The sequence below is a fragment of the Homo sapiens genome, chromosome 10 (genome assembly GCF_000001405.40).
Source record: "Homo sapiens chromosome 10, GRCh38.p14 Primary Assembly".
Classification (NCBI taxonomy): domain Eukaryota; kingdom Metazoa; phylum Chordata; class Mammalia; order Primates; family Hominidae; genus Homo; species Homo sapiens.
In genome coordinates, this window is record NC_000010.11 from 119,701,873 (window position 1) to 119,720,702 (window position 18,830).

Consider the following 18,830-nt stretch of genomic DNA (forward strand, 5'->3'; position numbering starts at 1 on the left):
ATAGCAGTTATTGAGTGAACAAATGCTTTTGTAGGAGAAGGTAGAGAAAGAATATTGTGGGGTAAAAGGAGGTAATTGGGGTCAGGAATGAATCATTCAATTTCGTTGGATTGCTTCCAGACTCAGAAAGAATGCTTACATTTCATGATTTCATCCAACCTCCAAACAACGCCCGGGACAGATCAGGGGAATAATGCTTAGCTCTCAGCCACCTGACTTCCATGACAATGGGTCCCTGTTGTGGGGTGTTGTATGAGTGGCTTATTCTGATTCTGTTGGTCGGTCAGAAATTTGCTGAGGTGCAGAGGCAGCACTGCACAAACGGAAAACGGTAGCTCCTGAACAAACCGCTGCTTGGTGCAAAAGAAAGGAAGGAAGCTTCTGTCCCTGGCCTTTCTCATCCCATCCTCTACTCCTTTCACCTGTCCTAGTTGTGTTGCTCTTGGGGTCAGAAGTAGGGTGCATATGCCTGTATCTGTAGTTTACCCTTTACCCTCTTAGGGTCCGTGAGACTTTGGCAAGTTCCTTCTGTGCTCTGCCCTTCATTTTCCATGTCCCTAAATGGGAATGGTCATGTGTATTAAACAGACTGATGGTGTCTACCACAGTCTTAAGCAGAATGGAAGCTCAAATATGTTAATTATTTTTACTATATGTTTTCTGTCTGTGAACATCCCTCTCCTTTCCTTCTAAAGGATACATGAACTGTTTAGAACAAAACACTCCATTTCAGGACAAGTTTCCTCTGGAAAAAAACAAAAAACAAAACAACAACAAAAAACACAGTTACCAGCTTCAAGGATGGGGATGTGAAAATGTTGTAATGGAAAAGCTGCATATAGAGAGAGAGTCTGTGAGACGGTAAGTTTTAAGTCATAGATAATCATGAGTCTTAGAGGTGGGAAGAACATCTAGAGAGAGCTTATTCAGAAAGACATTCTGGGCTATTTCAACAGTAAAGATGATGCTATCTCCATTTTTGGGGGGAGAGTCATGGCCTTTGGTAGTTTTGAGTGTATTTACCACTAGGTAGTAATATCTTGTTTTCAAACTGATTATTGCTGACTGAATCATGTCCCCTTAAAGATATGCTCAAGTCCTAATCCCCGGTACCTATGAATGTGAGTTTATTTGGACATACATCCTTTGTAGATCTAAAAAAGTTAAGATGAGGTTTTACTGGAACACTAGTTCAATGACTGGTACCTTTATAAGAAGAGAAAAATTTGAACACTGATACAGACACACAGGGAGAGTGCCGTGTGACAAATGAGACAGAAATTGGAGTGATATATCTACAAGCCAAGGAACACCAAGAATTGCAGGCAGCCTGCGGAAGCTGGAAAAGGCAAGGAAGGATTCTCCCTTGGCGCCTTCAGAGGGAGCCTGGCCCAGCCAACACCTTGATTTTGGATTTCTAGCCTCCAGAATTGTGAGAAAATACACTTCTGTTGTTTACTGCCACCCACTTTATGGTCATTTGTTACAGCAGCCCTAGAAAACCAATACACTGACCAAATGACCACATCTCTTTGTCCCCTCTCTTATTTTATTTATTAATTCACTTATGTTTTATAGAGATGGGGTCTCACTATGTTGCCAAAGCTGGTCTCAAACTCCTGGGCTCAAGAAATCCTCCCACCTTAGCCTCCCAAAGTGCTGGAATTACAGGCATGAGCCACTGTGCCCAGCCCCCTCTCTTATTGTAATCAGTAGATTAATCCTGGTTCTCAATAGCCTTGAGGTTTCTGATGGAAATTTTAATATAATTATTAACATATTCTTTGTTTTTGAGACGGAGTCTTGCACTGCTGCCCAGGCTGGAGTGCAGCGGCACGATCTCGGCTCACTGCAAGGTCTGCCTGTTGGGTTCACGCCATTCTCCTGCCTCAGCCTCCCCAGTAGCTGGGACTACAGGTGCCCGCCACCATGCCTGGCTGATTTTTTATATTTTTAGTAGAGACGGTGTTTCACTGTGTTAGCCAGGATGGTCTCTATCTCCTGACCTCGTGATCCACCTGCCCTGGCCTCCCAAAGTGCTGGGATTACAGACGTGAGCCACCACGCCCTGCCAACATATTCTATTTTTACATTAAAATAATATATATTTGGATTGGGGAAACCTTCTGATGACTGAGTTGGTAAGCTCCTAGGAAAGACAGAAACTCACTCTGTAGGCCCCATCCTGCACAGCTAGTAGATGCTGCAGGGAGAACTGGGCATCCCCCAATGATGTGATGCTTCAGTTTCAACATCTGTAAACGCTGCTGATATTTCCTTCCTGCTACTTCAGAATAAAAATACGTCTTTAAAGTATTTTGAGCTCTATGGAGCCTGCTGTAGAAATTTAGAGGTAGCATGATAATCATCCTTCATCTTCGTTTTTTTTTTTTTTTTGAGTCTTGCTCTGTCGCCCAGGAGGCTGCTTTTTTTTTTTTTTTTTTTTTTTGACTGACCTTCCCTTCTTCTGAACTTGTTATTCACATCTTGTCCTCAAGACATTTTCTCCTTGGTACCGAGCAATAATTTTTGTTCTGATGTCATTGGTGATTCCGCACCTATGGAAAGCTGTTATTTTCCATTCTATCAGGAACTCAGGTATTTATTTCAATCTGTTCGTAGCAGAGAAGAATATTTCTGTTGAATGTATTCCTGTTCTTGTCAGGTTGTAAAGATGAGTAGAATGGGATGCCTCCCTAGCGCTGTGAGTTGTTGTTGTTGTTTGTAATATGTGAAATTGATGTAAACCCTCCTGACTTCAAGTTTTCGAAACCTCCCACTACTGCAATGAGTCAGATAGAACCAGGAACTGACACTAAGCTGATGACCCGAAAAGGGATCCATTGCTGAATTACACCATCATTAGTGAGAAGCTCCTGATCTCCTACTTTCTAACTCCAAGAAAGGTTCTATTTGTCGGTTGAAAGAGAAACTCAGCCACAGGTGGTGGGGTACGTCTATAATTCCAGCACTTTCGGAGGCTGAGGCAGAAGGATCACTTGAGGCCCGGAGTTCAAGAGCAGCCTGGGCAACAGAGTGAGACCCTGTCTTTACAAAAATAGATAGGGATATTTTTGTATGCTTCCTTTCTGGCTCCAGTATAACCTTCTTCTAGAGCTTCTTTGTCCTCAAACCTTAAGGAAAATATGAATAGCTATTCGGTTTTGTTTTTCAGTGTGTACAACCTTTGGGCTCTTATTCTGTCTGCAAAATTTAGACGTTTTTGTTGCTCATTGCTCACCTTCTTAATTTTTTTTTGTTTTTGTTTTTGTTTTGTGAGATGGAGTCTTGCTCTGTCGCCCAGGCTGGAGTGCAATGGCGCAATCTTGGCTCACTGCAACCTCTGCCTCCTGGGCTCAAGTGATTCTCCTGCCTCGGCCTCTCAAGCAGCTGGGATTACAAGGTGCCTCCCACTCAGCTAATTTTTGTGTTTTTGGTAGAGATAGGGTTTCACCATGTTGGCCAGGCTGGTCTCGAACTCCTGTGATCCACCCACCTTGGCCTCCCAAAGTGCTGGGACTACAGGCGTGAGCCACTGCACCCAGCCACCTTCTTAATATTTTTAAGAGGAAGATACTTTCCCACATTAGGTGTTGATTATGATTGACATTTTTATGATTTAAAAAAACCCTGTTTATTCTTAGTGGGCTTACTCATTCAGAGAGTCTGAGTATTATTTTTAGCACACAGCAAACCTGTTATTTTAGATTAGACTAATAATGAAACTAAGTCAGTTTCTTGACTTTTTTTTTCCACTTTCTCAGTTAAAAAATATTTTCAAGATGTCTCTGAAAGGATCTTATTGATTGATTGACTGAGACTGGGTCTTGCTCTGTCGCCCTGGCTGGAGCTCAGTGGCACGATCATAGCTTACTGTAGCCTTGATCTCAAGCGACCCTCCAGCCTCAACTTCCTGAGTAGCTGGTACTACAGGCATTTGCCACTACACCTGGCTGATTTTTTTTTTTTTTTTTTTAAATTTAGTAGATACAAGGTCTTGCTTTGTTGCCCAGGCTGGTCTCGAACTCCTGAGCTCAAGCAATCCTCCCACCTTGGCTTCCCAAAGTGGTGGGATTATAAGTGTGAGCCACTGTGTCTGGCCTGAAAGAATCATTTTTAATAGGTACTCCCATTTGTCCAAGAACCTTAAGGGTATATCAGTCATGAATAGGTTGTTGCAAGTATCTGGTTTCTATATGTCTATATTATTTCATATATTTCATATTGTGCATAGAGAAGGGACTCCACATTTTGTAGGGCAATTTGGATGGGCCCTAAGGTAGGGAATGATGGGGGGAGGAGGGAGATGCAGGTAAGCTGATGATAAGATCTTTGGCTGGTGGTATGGGCTGAATTGTGCCTCCCTAAAATCTACGTGTTGAAGTCCAAACCCCCAAGTACCTCAGACTGTGACTGGGTTTGAAGACAGGGCTCTTAAAGAGCTGACTGAGGTAAAAGGAGGTCAATAGGTTGGGCCCTAATACAATATGACTGATGTCCTTGTACGAAGAGAAGATTAGGACACACACAACACATAAACCTGGAGATAACCATGTGAGGACACAGCAAGAAGAGGCCAATGGTAAGTGAAGGAGAAAGATTGCAGAAGAAATCAACCCTACCAACACCTTGATCTTGGACTGTGTACCCACCCAAATCTCATCTTCAACTGTAGCTCCCATAATCCCCACATGTTGTGGGAGGGGCCCAGTGGGAGGTAATTGAATCATGGGGGCGGTTACCTCCATGCTGTTCTTCTGATAGTGAGTTCTCACAAGATATAATAGTTTTATAAGGGACTTTTCCCTGCTTCACTCTGCACTTCTCCTTGCTGCTGCCATGTGAAGAAGGACATGTTTGCTTTCCCTTCCGCCATGATTACAACTTTCCTGAAATCTCCCCAGCTCTGCAGAACTGTGAGTCAATTAAACTTCTTTCCTTTATAAATTATCCAGTCTCGGGTATGTCCTTGTAGCAGTGTGAGAATGGATTAATACGACTTCTAGCCTCCAAAAGTGTGAGGATGTAAATTTCTTGGCTAAGCCTGCCACTCTGTCACACTTTGTCATGGCAGCTTGAGCAGTCTCAGACAGCTGGGTCCTGGCCATATGATCTTCCCCATTCTGGAGTTCAGCGTGAAGGGTAGGGGGAGGGGCGGGAAGGAGGATGAATGACAAAGCCATCGATTTGGCCATCTGCTCCATACAGCTTTGAGAGCTTTGAGCAAGTCATCAGATACAGGATGGCTGCAGAGATGGAGCCTTCTTGAGAGTAGGGAAGGGGAGAGGAAGTGTGAATAACAATAAAACATACTCAGGTAGTGGGGGCAGAGGGAGAGGCTGCAAATAGTCACTATTTAACACTTTGGTTGCTGTTATACTTCATTCCCTCATGGCTGATGTTTTACTTTTCCTTAAGAGTAAATAGATCTGTACTCTTTAAAAATAGAAGGAAACAATATGATTAATTTAGACAGGCTTCTATTACTCTCTATATGACTTTTTCTTTCTGAGTAACTGTATTAGTCCATTTTCACGCTGCTGATAAAGACATACCCGAGACTGGGTATAAAGAAAAAGAAGTTTAATGGACTCACAGTTCCTCGTGGCTGGGTGGGGGCGGGGGCCTCACAATCATGGTGAAAGGTGAAAGGTGAAAGGCACATCTTACATGGTGGCAGGCAAGAAAGAATGAGAGCCAAGCAAAAGGGAAAACCCCTTATAAAACCATCAGATCTCATGAGACTTATTCACTAGCATGAGAATAGTATGGGGAAACCACCCCCATGATTCAATTATCTCCCACTGGGTTCCTCTCACAACACACGGGAATGATGGGAGCTACAATTCAAGATGAGATTGGGGACACAACCAAACATATCAGTGACATAGGAATTGGCATATTAAAGGGAGCAGTAGAAGCCATTCAAAAAAAGTACAATCCCCCTTGGGCATGTTTACTGGGTTAGTGTTCTCCCCAAATTCATGTCCACCAGGAATCTGTCAATGTGACCTTATTTGGAGACAGGGCTTTTGGCAGATGTAATTAGTCATTAAAATGAGGTCCTACTGGATTAGGGGGGTGGGCCTGTGGGTTGGCCCAACATCCAATTTGACTGGTGCCCTTATAAGAAGAGAACTGGGTGGGTGTGGTAGCTCACACCTGTAATCTCAGCACATTGGGAGGCCAAGGCTAGAGGATCACTTGAGCCCAGGAGTTCGAGACTAGTCTGGGCAACATAGGGAGACCCTACTTTACAAAAAAAAAAAAAAGCTAGGCATGATGGCGTATGCCTTTGGTCCCAGCTACTTGGGAGGCTGAGGTGGGAAGATTTCTTGAGTCCAGGAGGTTGAGGCTGTGGTAAGCTGTGATGACACCACTGTACTCCAGCCTGGGCAACAGAGCGAGACCTCATCTCTTAGAAAAAAAAAAAAAAAAAAAAAAAAAAGAAGAATGGAGCCGAGAGAGACACACACAGACAGACAGGAGGAAAATGCCACGTGACAGTGGAGGCAGACATTGGAGTGATGCAGCCGCATGCCAAGGAATGCCAAGGGTTGCCAGAAGCCACCAGAAACTGGGAAGAGGCAAGGAAGGATCCTTCCCCACTGCCTTCAGAGAGCACATGGCCCTGCCAATGCCTTGATTTCAGACCTCTAGCCTCCAGAATTGTGAGATAATAGATTTCCATTGTTTTCAGCCACCCAGTTTGTGGCACCTGGTGATGGCAGCCCTAGAGAGCTGATACAGGGAGCAGTGCAGGGATAGGCACAGTGCTTGACAAGTGCTTTTGAATTTCAAACAGTAGCTGCAGGTCCAAAGAAGAGATCTCAAACCTGTGTTAGGATTATACAAGTGGTACAGGGTGCAGTGGCTCACACCTGTAATTCCAGCACTTTGGGAGGCTGAGGCAGGTGGATTGCCTGAGCTTATGAGTTCAAGACCAGCCTGGCCAACATGGCAAAACCCCATCTCTACTAAAAATACAAAAAAAAAAAATTAGCAGTGCGTGGTCGCGTGTGCCTGTAATCCCAGCTACTTGGGAGGCTGAGGCAGGAGAATCACTTGACCCCGGGAGGTGGAGGTTGCAGTGAGTCAAGATCATACCAGTGCACTCCAGCCTGGACAACAGAGTGAGACTGCCTCCAAAACAAAACAAAACAAAAAAACAAAAAGAAAAACAAGTGGTATGAATTGTCTAGCACACACCCACAGAAATAGTTTCTTTCCCTTTCAAACGTACTGCATGTCAAATGGAAACTACCGACCAAAATCCCTTGAGATCTCTTGAGGGTATTCATCTGCACAAGTAAGGTAACACGTACAAAGGGCTTTAGAGCCAGAGAACTCATCACAAACTGGGAGGTGATTATTTTTCCTTCAGTGCAAAGAATCTTCTACATTCTGAAACATCAGGATAGCTGCTTAGGGGCATAAAGTCAGCTAGCTTTTGAGAAATTTTTCCATTTTTGAGAAAAAAATAATCATTTAGCAACAGGAACAGGAAGAGAAGTATTGGAATCATAATGTTTCCTTAAATTTCTCAGACATCAACTTGAAGTATGATGCCCATGTTTAGTGTATGGTAGGCTTGTCTTTTCTGCCAAAAGGGATTGTATGAAGATTGACAATGTAGATATTTGAAGCTGATTTTATTTGTTTGTTTGTTTTGAGGCAGGGTCTCCCTCTGTTGCCTAGGCTGGAATGCAGTGGCGCTATCATAGGTGGCTATAGTCTTGAATTCCTGGGTTTAAGTGAGCCTCCCGCCTCAGCCTCCCAAAGTACTGGGATTACAGGCATGAGCCACTTCACCTGGTCTGAAGCTGATTTTGAATGGAATAGCACTGTTCCTAGGTAGGGAGTTACACGAGAGGCTGGGTGGTGCAGTGGAAATCATGCTGGGTTAGAGATTCTGAGGTTGGTTTCTATGAGGCCTGGTGTCAGAAATTTGCTGCCTGACTGTGGGCAAGTTGCTGCAACTTGCGAAGTCTTCGTTAGGCTGGGTAGGTGACTGCTGGATTCTCTATACTTCCCCCACTGAGTGGGAGGGGAGGGTATTAGCCCCTGTAATGAGTGTCCTCCCAAAAGATATGTCCAAGTCCTAATTCTCAGTACTTATGAATGTGACCTTATTTGGAAGTAGAGTTTTTGAAGATGCAATTAATATAAGGATCTTGGGATAAGATCACCCTGGATTAGGATGGGCTCTAAATCCAATGACCAGTGTCCTTTCAAGAGACAGAAAAGGGGAAGACACACAGAAACACAGGGAGGCCTAGTGTGGTGGCTCAAGCCTGTAATCTCAACACTGTGGGAGGCAGAGGCAGGAGGATCGCTTGAGGCCAGGAGTTCAAGACCAGCCTGGGCAACATAGCAAGACCCTGTCTGTATGGAAAAAAAAGAGAAAGAAAAGTATATGTTAGGCTGGGCATGGTACCTAATGCCTGTAATCCCAGCACTTTGGGAGGCTGAGGTGGGTGGATTGCTTGAGCCCAGGAGTTTGGGACCAGCCTGGGCAATATGGCAAGATCCAGTCTCTACAAAATATACAAAAATTAGGCATGGTGGTGCATGCCTGTAGTCCCAGCTACTTGGGAGGCTGAGGTGAGAGGATCACCTGAGCCCAGAAGGTTGAGGCTGCAGTGAGCCATGATCATGCTACTGCACTCCAGCCTGAGCAACAGAGTGAGACCCTGTCTCAAAAAAAAAAAAAAAAAAAAGAAAGAAAGAAAAAAGAGAAAATTACACACACGCACACACACACACATATATGAAAATAAATAGAAACCCATGGAAGAAGGCCAGGTAAAGATTCATGTGAGGGTGGAGTCAGAGATGGAGTTATTCGCTCTAAGCCAAGACACACCAAGGGTTGTGGGAGCTGCCAGAAGGTAGGAGAGAGGCACGGAACGAATTCTCTCACAGAGTCTCCACAAGGAATTGACCCTGCCAACTCCTTAATTTTGGACTTGGCCTCCAGAACAGTGAGAGAATCAATTTCTGTTGTTCTAAGCTACCAAGTTTGTGGTCAATTGCATGGCAGCTATAGGAAACTCATATGGACCTCTACAGGTTAGGAGGGGGCACTGCCCCAACAGGCCCTCTGATATGGTTTGGCTGTGTCCTCACCCAAATCTCATTTTGAATTCCCACGTGTTGTGGGAGGTAATTGAATCATGGGGGCAGGTCTTTCCTGTGCAGTTCTCATGATGGTGAGTAAGTCTCAGGAGATCTGATGGTTATTATAAGGGGGAGTTTCCCTGCATAAGCTCTTTCTTTGCCTGCTGCCATCCATGTAAGATGTGACTTTGCTCCTCCTTGCTTTCCACCATGATTGTGAGGCTTCCCCAGCCATGTGGAACTATAGGTCCACTAAACTTCTTTCTTTTGTAAATTGCCCAGCCTCAGGTATGCCTTTATCAGCAGCATGAAAACAGACTAATACACCCTCTCTACTAGGAACCCCTGAGGAATCATCACTGCGTCTGATGATGGGATGCCAGGGCTGCCCATCTTTGTCAGACCAAACGCATGGGATTCTGAATGAGGTTGTATTTGTTGCCTGTGGCTGCCATAACAAATTAGGACAAACTTGGTGGCTTAAAACAACACACTTTTATGCTCTTATAGTTCTGTAGCACAAAAGTCCAAAATCAGTCTTACTGGGCCAAAATCAATGTGTTAGCAGTGCCTTTCTCCCTTCAGAGGCTCTAAGGGAGAATCAGTTTCTCGTCTCTTCCAGCATCCAGTGGGGGCTGGTGTTCCTTGGTTTGCCCATCTTTTTTATTTTGTTATTATTTTTTTTGGAGACAGAGTCTCACTCTGTCACCCAGGCTGGAGTGCAGTGGCGTGATCTCAGCTCACTGCAACCTCTGCCTCCCAGGTTCAAGTGATTCTCCTGCCTCAGCCTCCCGAGTAGCTGGGACTACAGGTGCGTGCCACCGCAACTGGCTAATTTTTTGTATTTTTAGTTGAGACGGGGTTTCACCATATTGGCCAGGCTGGTCTCAAACTCCTGACCTTGTGATATGCCCATCTCGGCCTCCCAAAGTGCTGGGATTACAGGCGTGAGCCACCGCGCCCGGCCCAGTTTGCCCATTTTAAAGAACAGCACCTTCAAATCTCTCTCGGCTCTGTCTTCCTATCACTTTCTCCCCTGTGTGTAAAATCTCCCTCTGCCTCCTTTGTTTTTTTGAGACAGAGTCTTGCTCTTGTTGCCCAGGCTTGAGTGCAGTGGTGTGATCTCGGCTCACTGCTGCAACCTCCGCCTCCTGGGTTCAAGCAATTCTCCTACCTCAGCCTCCCGAGTAGCTGGGATTACAGGCACATACCACCACACCTGGCTAAATTTTTGTACTTTTAGTAGAGATGGGGTTTCACTATGTTGGCCAGGCTGGTCTCGAACTCCTAACCTCAGATGATCCACCTGGCTCAGCCTCCCAGAGTGCAGGGATTACAGGCATGAGCCACTGTGCCCAGCCCTCTGCCTCCTTCTGATTCACATACATGTGATTGCATTTACGGCCTACCTGGATATCCCAGGATAAGATCCCTAATCACATCTGCAAAGACCCTTTTTCCAAACAGGTAACATTTACAGGTTTCTGATATCATTGAGGGCTGTTATTCAGGTGACTGCAGGGGGTTAGACATGATGGAAATGTCAGACAAGCGAGCGAAAGCCACCCAAGGATAGGAAGCTGCACCTTCATCCCACCATACCACTCAGGGTGAAAGTAATGTGGGGCAGGCCTCTCTGTTCAGGCCTTCAGAGACTATTCTGAAGATGTGCTTAGGCAAAGGTCCCAGCTCTCCAAGGTCAGTTTCTCCCTATGTAAAATGGAGATAAAATATAAAATTTTCTCTACAAGGTTGTTAGCGGAACTATACGAAGTTTTTGAAAGGGTGTCTTAAACTATAGTGTTACAGAAATATTTATACTTTAAAAAAATCTATTTTATATGTAAAGTTTTCCCCTCCAAAATCATTATTTGACAAATTCCTAACATATATGTGTGCGTACATATATATATGTACGCACACATATATATACACATATATGTACGCACACATATATATACACATATATATGTACACACATATGTACACATATATACGCACACACATACATACATATAATATTAACATAATTAAATATATTAAGAGAATATTCCGGCCCAGGCACGGTGGCTCACGCCTGTAATCCCAACACTTTGGGAGGCCAAGGTGGACAGATCACAAGGTCAGGAGTTTGAGACCAGCCTGGCCAATATGGTGAAACCCCATTTCTACTAAAAATACAAAAATTAGCCGGGCGTGGTGGGGAGCATCTGTAGTCTCAGCTACTCGGGAGGCTGAGGCAGAAGAATTGCTTGAACCCAGGAAGTGGAGGTTGTAACGAGCTGAGATGGTGCCACTGCACTCCAGCCTGGGCGACACAGCAAGACCCTGTCTCAAAAAACAAAAAACAAAAACAAAAAAACAACAAAAAAGAGAATATGTGTTTCCTCCATTTATTTATTTATTTATTTATGTGAGACAGAGTCTTGCTCTGTTGCCCAGGCTGGAGTACAGTGGTGTGATCTTGGCTCACTGCAACCTCCACCTCCAGGGTTCAAGCGATTCTCGTGTCTCAGCCTCCCAAGTAGCTGGGGTTACAGGCATGTACCACCACACCTGGCTAATTTTTGTATTTCCAGTAGAGACGGGGTTTCACCATGTTGGCCAGGCTGGCCTCCAACTCCTGGCCTCAAGTGATCCACCTACCTCAGCCTCCCAAAGTGCTGGGATTACAGGCATGAGCCACCACACCTGGCTTTCCCCTAATTTTTGATTGTCTCCTGCTCTCCTTTAATCCCCCTCCCAGTATGAAATCTCCTAAACCCTACCTTGGAAATTCCAACCCTTCCCACAGGTTGGAACCTGCCTTCTATCTCCCTAAGTATCCCACAATCCCTACCACTACAGCTCTGATGGCTCTGGAGTTGGGGCGCCGTGAGCTTGGATTCCTATGAATTAGTGGAGGACTGTGATTCCTTGCTGCTTCTGGGCAGTGCCTTAACCAGCAGTGGCTGTGGCCAGGTTGATCCTGAATCCCCCAAGGACAAGCACGCCTTGCCACTGAGTATTACATTTTTTCCTGAAACCACCCAGTCTAGCATCACACGATGAAAACACTCTCCACCTATTAATAGTACTTTTGAATCTACTCCTGGAAAATCTATACCCTGGCATTACTGAATCAAAGATGCTTCCTAGCTCTATTTTCAATATAAGGGCTCCACATGAACTGAGAATAGCTCTGTCTGAGTCATTGGGATGAATGGTGCCATCTTTAAACATAGTTTCCAATCTCTAAATTTATCTCTAAAACAAATGTGTGTATGTGTGTGTGTGTGTGCTCATCCAGCTCCATAACTGTTAGTAGATTAGAGAGCTGGAGGGAGCAGAAAGTGTATCTGAGCTCAGAAGAGGAGGAGCGGCTAAAAGGACACGGGAGAATGATCACAGAGGGGAGACAAGCCAAGAGAAGACAACGAACAGGCACAGATCCTCCTGGGATGTAGAAGCACAGAAGGTTCTTTCCTGCTAGCAATGGGGGCAAGAACTGTGATGCCTGAAGCTTCTTCCAATAAGGAGAGTCCCTTTAGAAAGGAGAATACAAAATAGTGAATACAGAATTAGGGCTTTGGATGAAATCAAGGAATCTTGAAGCTTAAGCTTCTTTTGCCTCAGGACAAATTCTCTGTCTCTGGCTGGGAATCAAGGCCAACATCCAACTTATAGTTACACAGTTAACGTCCACTACTTCTATTTCCTGGTGATGTGATTTGAGCTAAAAACGTGAATCACTTACATATATAAAATTAAAATGTGTTTAGCTTTACATATATATGTTATTATATATATAAAAAATATTTTATATATATGTTAGGAATTTGTCAAATAATGAGCCTAGAGGGGAAAACTTTACACATAAAATACATATTTTTTTTGAGACAGGGTCTTCCTCTGTCAGCCAGGCTGGAGTGCAGTGGCATGATCATGGCTCATTGCAACCTCTGCCTCCTGGGTTCAAGTGATCTTCCCACCTCAGCCTCTTGGGTAACTGGGACTACAGTTGCGCACCACCACGCCCAGCTAACTTTTTCGTATTTTTTGTAGCGATGGGGTCTTGCCATGTTGCCCAGGCTCATATTCAATTCCTGGACTCAAGCGATCCGTCCACATCAGCCTCCCAAAGTGCTGGGATTACAGGCCTGAGCCACTGAGCCCAGCCATAAAATATATGCAAAATATTTGCATAAAATATATGCATATATTTTTAAAATATATGCAAAATAACGGTGCGATAACTCTTTATAGTTTTTTGTTTTGTTCTTTTTTTGAGACAGCGTATCTCTCTGTCTCCCAGGCTGGAGTGCAGTGGCCTGATCTGATCTTGGCTCACTACAACCTCCACCTCCCGGGTTCAAGCGATTCTCCTGCCTCAGCCTCCCGAGCAGCTGGGACTACAGGTGTCTGCCACCACTCCCGGCCAATTTTTGTATTTTTAGTAGAGACAGGATTTCACCATATTGGCCAGGCTGGTCTCGAACTCCTGACCTTGTGATCCACCCGCCTTGGCCTCCCAAAGTGCTGGGATTACAGGCGTGAGCCACCGCGCCCGGCCAACTCTTTGTAGTTTAAGACATCGTTTCAAAGAGTTGACTTCATTTAATTCTGATGACAACCTTGTGAAGAAAATTTTATATCTTATCTCCATTTTGTTTAGGGTGAAACTGATCTTGGAGAGCTGGGAGATTTGCCTTAGCACATCTGGCTGGTGAATAGGTGAGGTGGGGTGGGACCCCAGTGACACTTGCCGGTGTTGACTGGGGGGTAAATACAATTTGCAGGCTGTTCTGCTTCCTAGGGCTGGGGATGGGTAGAGGAGAACAAGACAGCAGAGGCCACCGCAACTGCCCGCCCCTTGGCACTTGTCTCTTTCCATCTCCCTTGGATTTCCCAGCTCCAGGCTCCACAGGCAGAAGAGTCAGTAATTCGCTCCAAATAGGAGCAAATGGGGGGGCTTTGGGGAATCACTTCAGACCCAGTGCTTGTCCCTCTCTGCAGGCAGGCAGCAGCCCCGGAAACTTGCTGTCCTCCTCTGAACCAGACTGCCTAGTTCCAATTAGGAAATCACAAGGGAAGAAAAGTCCAGAGACCAGCCGGCAGACTTTGAATGTACGGACCCTGCATCAAATTGTTTACAGGCCACATTTTGTTCCCATTCAAAATGAAAATACTTGTTACTGAATCCCAAAGGGGAAATATGTTTATGCTGAAGTGATGGGCTAGACTTGTTAATGTTTGAGTGTTTCTAGCCTTTCCTCTTCCCCCCCAACCCCAGCCGCAGCTAGAGAGTTTTCTGGCTTAGCTTTGTGCTTTTTCTTCCCCTGTCTCACCCTCTAGAGAAGGCCAGGCCTTGCCAGGGAAATAGCCCTAAGTGGTTTGGTCAGATTTCACAACAAAGAACTGAAAAAGATGCTGGAGGGAGAAAGCTTTCTGGAGTTTTGAGAGGAGAGATATGGGAATATTTGTGCTATATGAGGACAATGGTGAGAAGAAAAAAAAGATTTAAAAGAAATTATAGAGGGCTTTAGAATATTTGAGAAATACACACAAAGGATTTGAGTTTTCTCAAATTGTTTTTAATTGTATAGAATGGATTTTTTTTTTTTAACCTCAATGCTGCCTGGACTGAATCCCTTGGATTGTAGCTTTATAAGCATCATAGCTACAAGTTAGAATCCCCACTCAATTAACTCAGAGAATAGCAATGAGAAAAGCTGTGAGAAATGATGTGCTGCTTGGGAGTAACTGAAATGTGAATATCTTGCAGGGTTTCAGAAGCAGCAACAGCACTCTAATCCTGAAATTAGAGTGAGGGCCAAATTTTCAAAATATATTTGCCACATTTTTGCAGCTGGTCTCTGGTTACCCATCATAGTTAAAATCACCATCTTGGAAACTTGCAAATCACATTTCGTGCTTTGTTCACCGTCCCCCTGCCCCCCGCCTCTATACCCCCATGCCTTTGCTTCTGTAGTCAGAAGCTGTCCAAACACCCCATCTGCAACACACATCCCCTCACTGTACTTCTCAGTCTCGTTGAAGGATTGCTGTAAAATGGAAGGGAAAGAACAGCACTATTAGGGAAACCAAAACCCCATGTTTCCTTGTCACTAAGTGCAACTCTTATGAAATGGTGAAACATTGTAGGATATTATTTTCTTTAACCAGGAGAAGTAACAATAGGTTCAAAATCCACTGGGCAGCTTTTAGGACGTACCAACTTTCTACCAGAGTAACATCCCCCTGTTGTTTTTCTGTGCAGTCCAAAGCATTATTTGAAAAATCTCTAACATGATTATCTAACAATGCATTTTTTTTTTTTGAGACAGAGTTTCTCTCTTGTCGCTTAGGCTGGAGTGCAATGGCATGATGTTGGCTCACTGCGACCTCTGCCTCCTGGGTTCAAGCAATTCTCCTGCCTCAGCCTCCTGAATAGCCGGGTTACAGGTGCGCTCCACCACGCTCAGCCAATTTTTTTATTTTTAGTAGAGATGGGGTTTCTCCATGTTGGCCAGGCTGGTCTCAAACTCCTCACCTCAGGTGATCCACCTGCCTCGATCTCCCAAAGTGCTGGGATTACAGGCGTGAGCCACTTTGCCCGGTCAGAGGCAAAAGACTTTAGATCCTTAGGTAATACATTGCCTAAAAATATGTTTTTATGTGTGGTAGAGGAATGATTTGTGTGTATATATATATATATACACACACACACACACACACACACACGCATATATATATACACACATGCATATATATATATACACACACTTAATTAGCTTTTTAAGATTTAAAACATTAAAAGCACATGGTTTTTTAAAAAATCAAGAGCATACAGCTGTATCAAGATATCTCATGTATCCCGTAAATATATACATCTACTATATATCCACAAAAATTTAAAAAAAAAAGTACACAGGTATATAAAGTGAAAAACGTCTCCACCCTCCTTCCTACATTCCTCATTCCCTTTCACAGCCCCTCCACTCACCAGCCCCATTTCCATCCCTCAAAGGGAACTAGATTTTGTGTTTTGTTTCAGAAATGTTCTGGACTTATAAAAATATAATCTCTCTTCCATTCCCTCACTTTAAAAACTCAAATGGGATACTAGAAAATACTGTTCTGCAATTTGGACTTTTTCTTTTTCTTTTTTTTTTTTTTTTTGAGACAGGGTCTCACTCTGTCACCCAGGCTGGAGTGCAATGGTGCAATCTCAGCTCACTGCAACCTCTGCCTCCCATGTTCAAGCGATTCTCCCGCCTCAACCTCCTGAGTAGCTGGGAGTACAGGTGCATGCCACCATGCCCAGCTAATTTTTGTATTTTTAGTAGAAACGGGGTTTCACCATGTTGGCCAGGCTGGTCTCAAACTCCTGGCCTCAAGTGATCCACCCACCTCAGCCTCCCAAAGTGCTGGGATTACAGGCGTGAGCCACCGTGCCCGGCCTAACTCGGACTTTTTCTGTTTAACAGTGTATCCTGGACGTTTTTTCCAAAGTAGCTTATTTAGAGCAAACTAATTTTTTAAAGTTACCTTTTTTTTGTTTTGTTTTTTAATTGAAGAGTAAATGCATAACAGAAAGGAAGTGAGAGACAGCTGGTTTTAGACAACTATGAAATTATCACTGAACAAGGCTAATTATCTTCTCTGCAAGGAGAGAAGAGAAAAATTAGCTGCAGAAAAGACATTCTCGCTCTCTCTCGCACATGCACACACACACACAAATAATTATGGCTGGTTTAATAAAAAAAAATTTTTTTTTTTTGAGATGGTGTTTCGCTTTTGTCACCCAGGCTGGAGTGCAATGGTGCCATCTTGGCTCACTGCAACCTCTGTCTCCTGGGTTCAAGTGGTTCTCCTGCCTCAGCCTCCCGAGTAGCTGGGATTACAGGCGTCCACCACCATGCCCAGCTAATTTTTGTATTTTTTTTGTAGAGATGGGGTTTTACCATGTTGGCCAGGCTGGTCTCAAACTTCTGACCTCAGGTGATCCACCCACCTCGGCCTCCCAAAGTGCTGGGATTACAGGTGTAAGCTACCGCACCTGGCCTAAATTTTCTTTTCTTTCCTTTTTTTTCTTTTGAGACGGAGTTTCGCTTTTGTTGCCCAGGCTGGAGTACAATGGTGCGATCTTGGCTCACTGCAACCTCCGCCTCCCGGGTTCAAGCGATTCTCCTGTCTCAGCCTCCTGAGTAGCTGGGATTATAGGCACCTGCCACTACGCACTGCTAATTTTTGGTATTTTTAGTGGAGATGGGGTTTCACCATGTTGGCCAGGCTGGTCTTGAACTCATGACCTCAGGTGAGCTGCCCGCCTCAGCCTCCCAAAGTGCTGGGATTACAGGCATGAGCCACCACGCCCGGCCACCCCATTTTTTTTTTTTTTTTTTTTTTCGAGACTGGGTCTCACTCCTCGCTCTCCTGCCCAGGCTAGAGTGCAGTGGCTCAATCATAGCTCATGGTAGCCTTGAACTCTTGGGTTCAAGTGATCCTCCCATCTCAGCCTCCTGAGTAGGTCCTTGACAATTTTATCAGGCCGTACAATTAAAAAGCCAGTAATTATTAACCCCCAAAGTAAAGAAGTGAAAAAAGGGTGGTCTTCTACATTAAATAAAAGGGCCTCTTTTAGGCCAACATGACAGTCTCCTCATGAGGGACTTTCCTTTTTCTTGGTCTGTGGTGCTTCTCAACTATTTTATCTTATTTTATTTTATTTTATTTTATAGACAGTCTCGCTATGTCACCCAGGCTGGAATACAGTGGCGCCACCTCGGCTCACTGCCACCTCCGCCTCCCAGGTTCAAGTGATTCTCCTGCCTCAGCCTCCCGAGTAGCTGGGATTACAGGCGCCCACCACCACGCATGTCTAATTTTTGTATTTTTAGTAGAGACAGGGTTTCACCATGTTGGCCAGGCTGGTCCTTGAACTCTGGCATCAAGTGATCCGCCTGCCTTGGCCTCCCAAAGTGCTGGAATTACAGGTGTGAGCCACTTTGCCCAGCCTGAAGAACTTTATATATGTCAAAGTGCTCCAACAGTACAATTTCCAGCCATCCTTGATGAAGTTATGTGAGGAGGTAGCATTAAGTTTGCTGGGTGATAAATCCATAAGAAATTGGCTGTTGATTGGCCAAACGTAAAAATTTGGCTTGTGTTTTAAGTCTGTTTGGGCTAACAAAAAAATACTATAGGCTGGGTGACTTATAAACAACAGAATTTTTTTTTTTTTTTCCCAACAGTTCTGAAGGCTGGGAAGTTCAAGATCAAGGCACTGGTAGATTCAGTGTCTGGTGAGGGCCTGCTCTCTGGTTCTTAGACGAACATCTGTTTCCTCGAGATGCCCTCATGTGGTGGAAGGGGCAAGGGACCTTGCTGGGGTCTCTTATAAGTGCTCTAATGAGCTAATTACTTTCCAAAGGCCCTCTCTCCTAATACTATCACCTTACAGGTTAGGATTTCAACATACAAATTTTGGGAAAGCAGTCAATTGCATTCTGCCCTCATGTTTCTCCAGAGAAACAGAAACAATATATATGCATATACAGAAGAAAATTTATGATGAGGGATTGGCTCATGAGATTATGGAGGTTGAGAAGTCCCAGTCTACCTTCTGCAAGCTGGAGAACCAGGAAAGCCTGTGGTATAGTTCCAGTCCAAACCTAAAGGCCTAAGAACCAGGGAGGTCAATCTGGGTCTGAGAGCCCAGAACTATA

At 44.5% G+C, this 18,830-nt stretch overlaps 4 annotated features.

Annotated features, from left to right (window-relative positions):
- Nucleotides 2,066-2,115: an enhancer, noted in NCBI's record as "active region_4129". NCBI's record gives its function as "activates an Ori minimal core promoter by ATAC-STARR-seq in GM12878 lymphoblastoid cells {active_cell/tissue: GM12878}" and the evidence as "EXISTENCE:reporter gene assay evidence [ECO:0000049][PMID:35858748]".
- Nucleotides 2,126-2,175: an enhancer, noted in NCBI's record as "active region_4130". NCBI's record gives its function as "activates an Ori minimal core promoter by ATAC-STARR-seq in GM12878 lymphoblastoid cells {active_cell/tissue: GM12878}" and the evidence as "EXISTENCE:reporter gene assay evidence [ECO:0000049][PMID:35858748]".
- Nucleotides 2,806-3,085: an enhancer, noted in NCBI's record as "active region_4131". NCBI's record gives its function as "activates an Ori minimal core promoter by ATAC-STARR-seq in GM12878 lymphoblastoid cells {active_cell/tissue: GM12878}" and the evidence as "EXISTENCE:reporter gene assay evidence [ECO:0000049][PMID:35858748]".
- Nucleotides 9,944-10,133: a silencer, noted in NCBI's record as "fragment chr10:121471328-121471517 (GRCh37/hg19 assembly coordinates)". NCBI's record gives its function as "represses an EF-1alpha promoter that drives an FKBP-Casp9 reporter gene in an ReSE screen in phorbol 12-myristate 13-acetate-treated (for megakaryocytic differentiation) K562 erythroleukemia cells {active_cell/tissue: K562(+PMA)}" and the evidence as "EXISTENCE:reporter gene assay evidence [ECO:0000049][PMID:32094911]".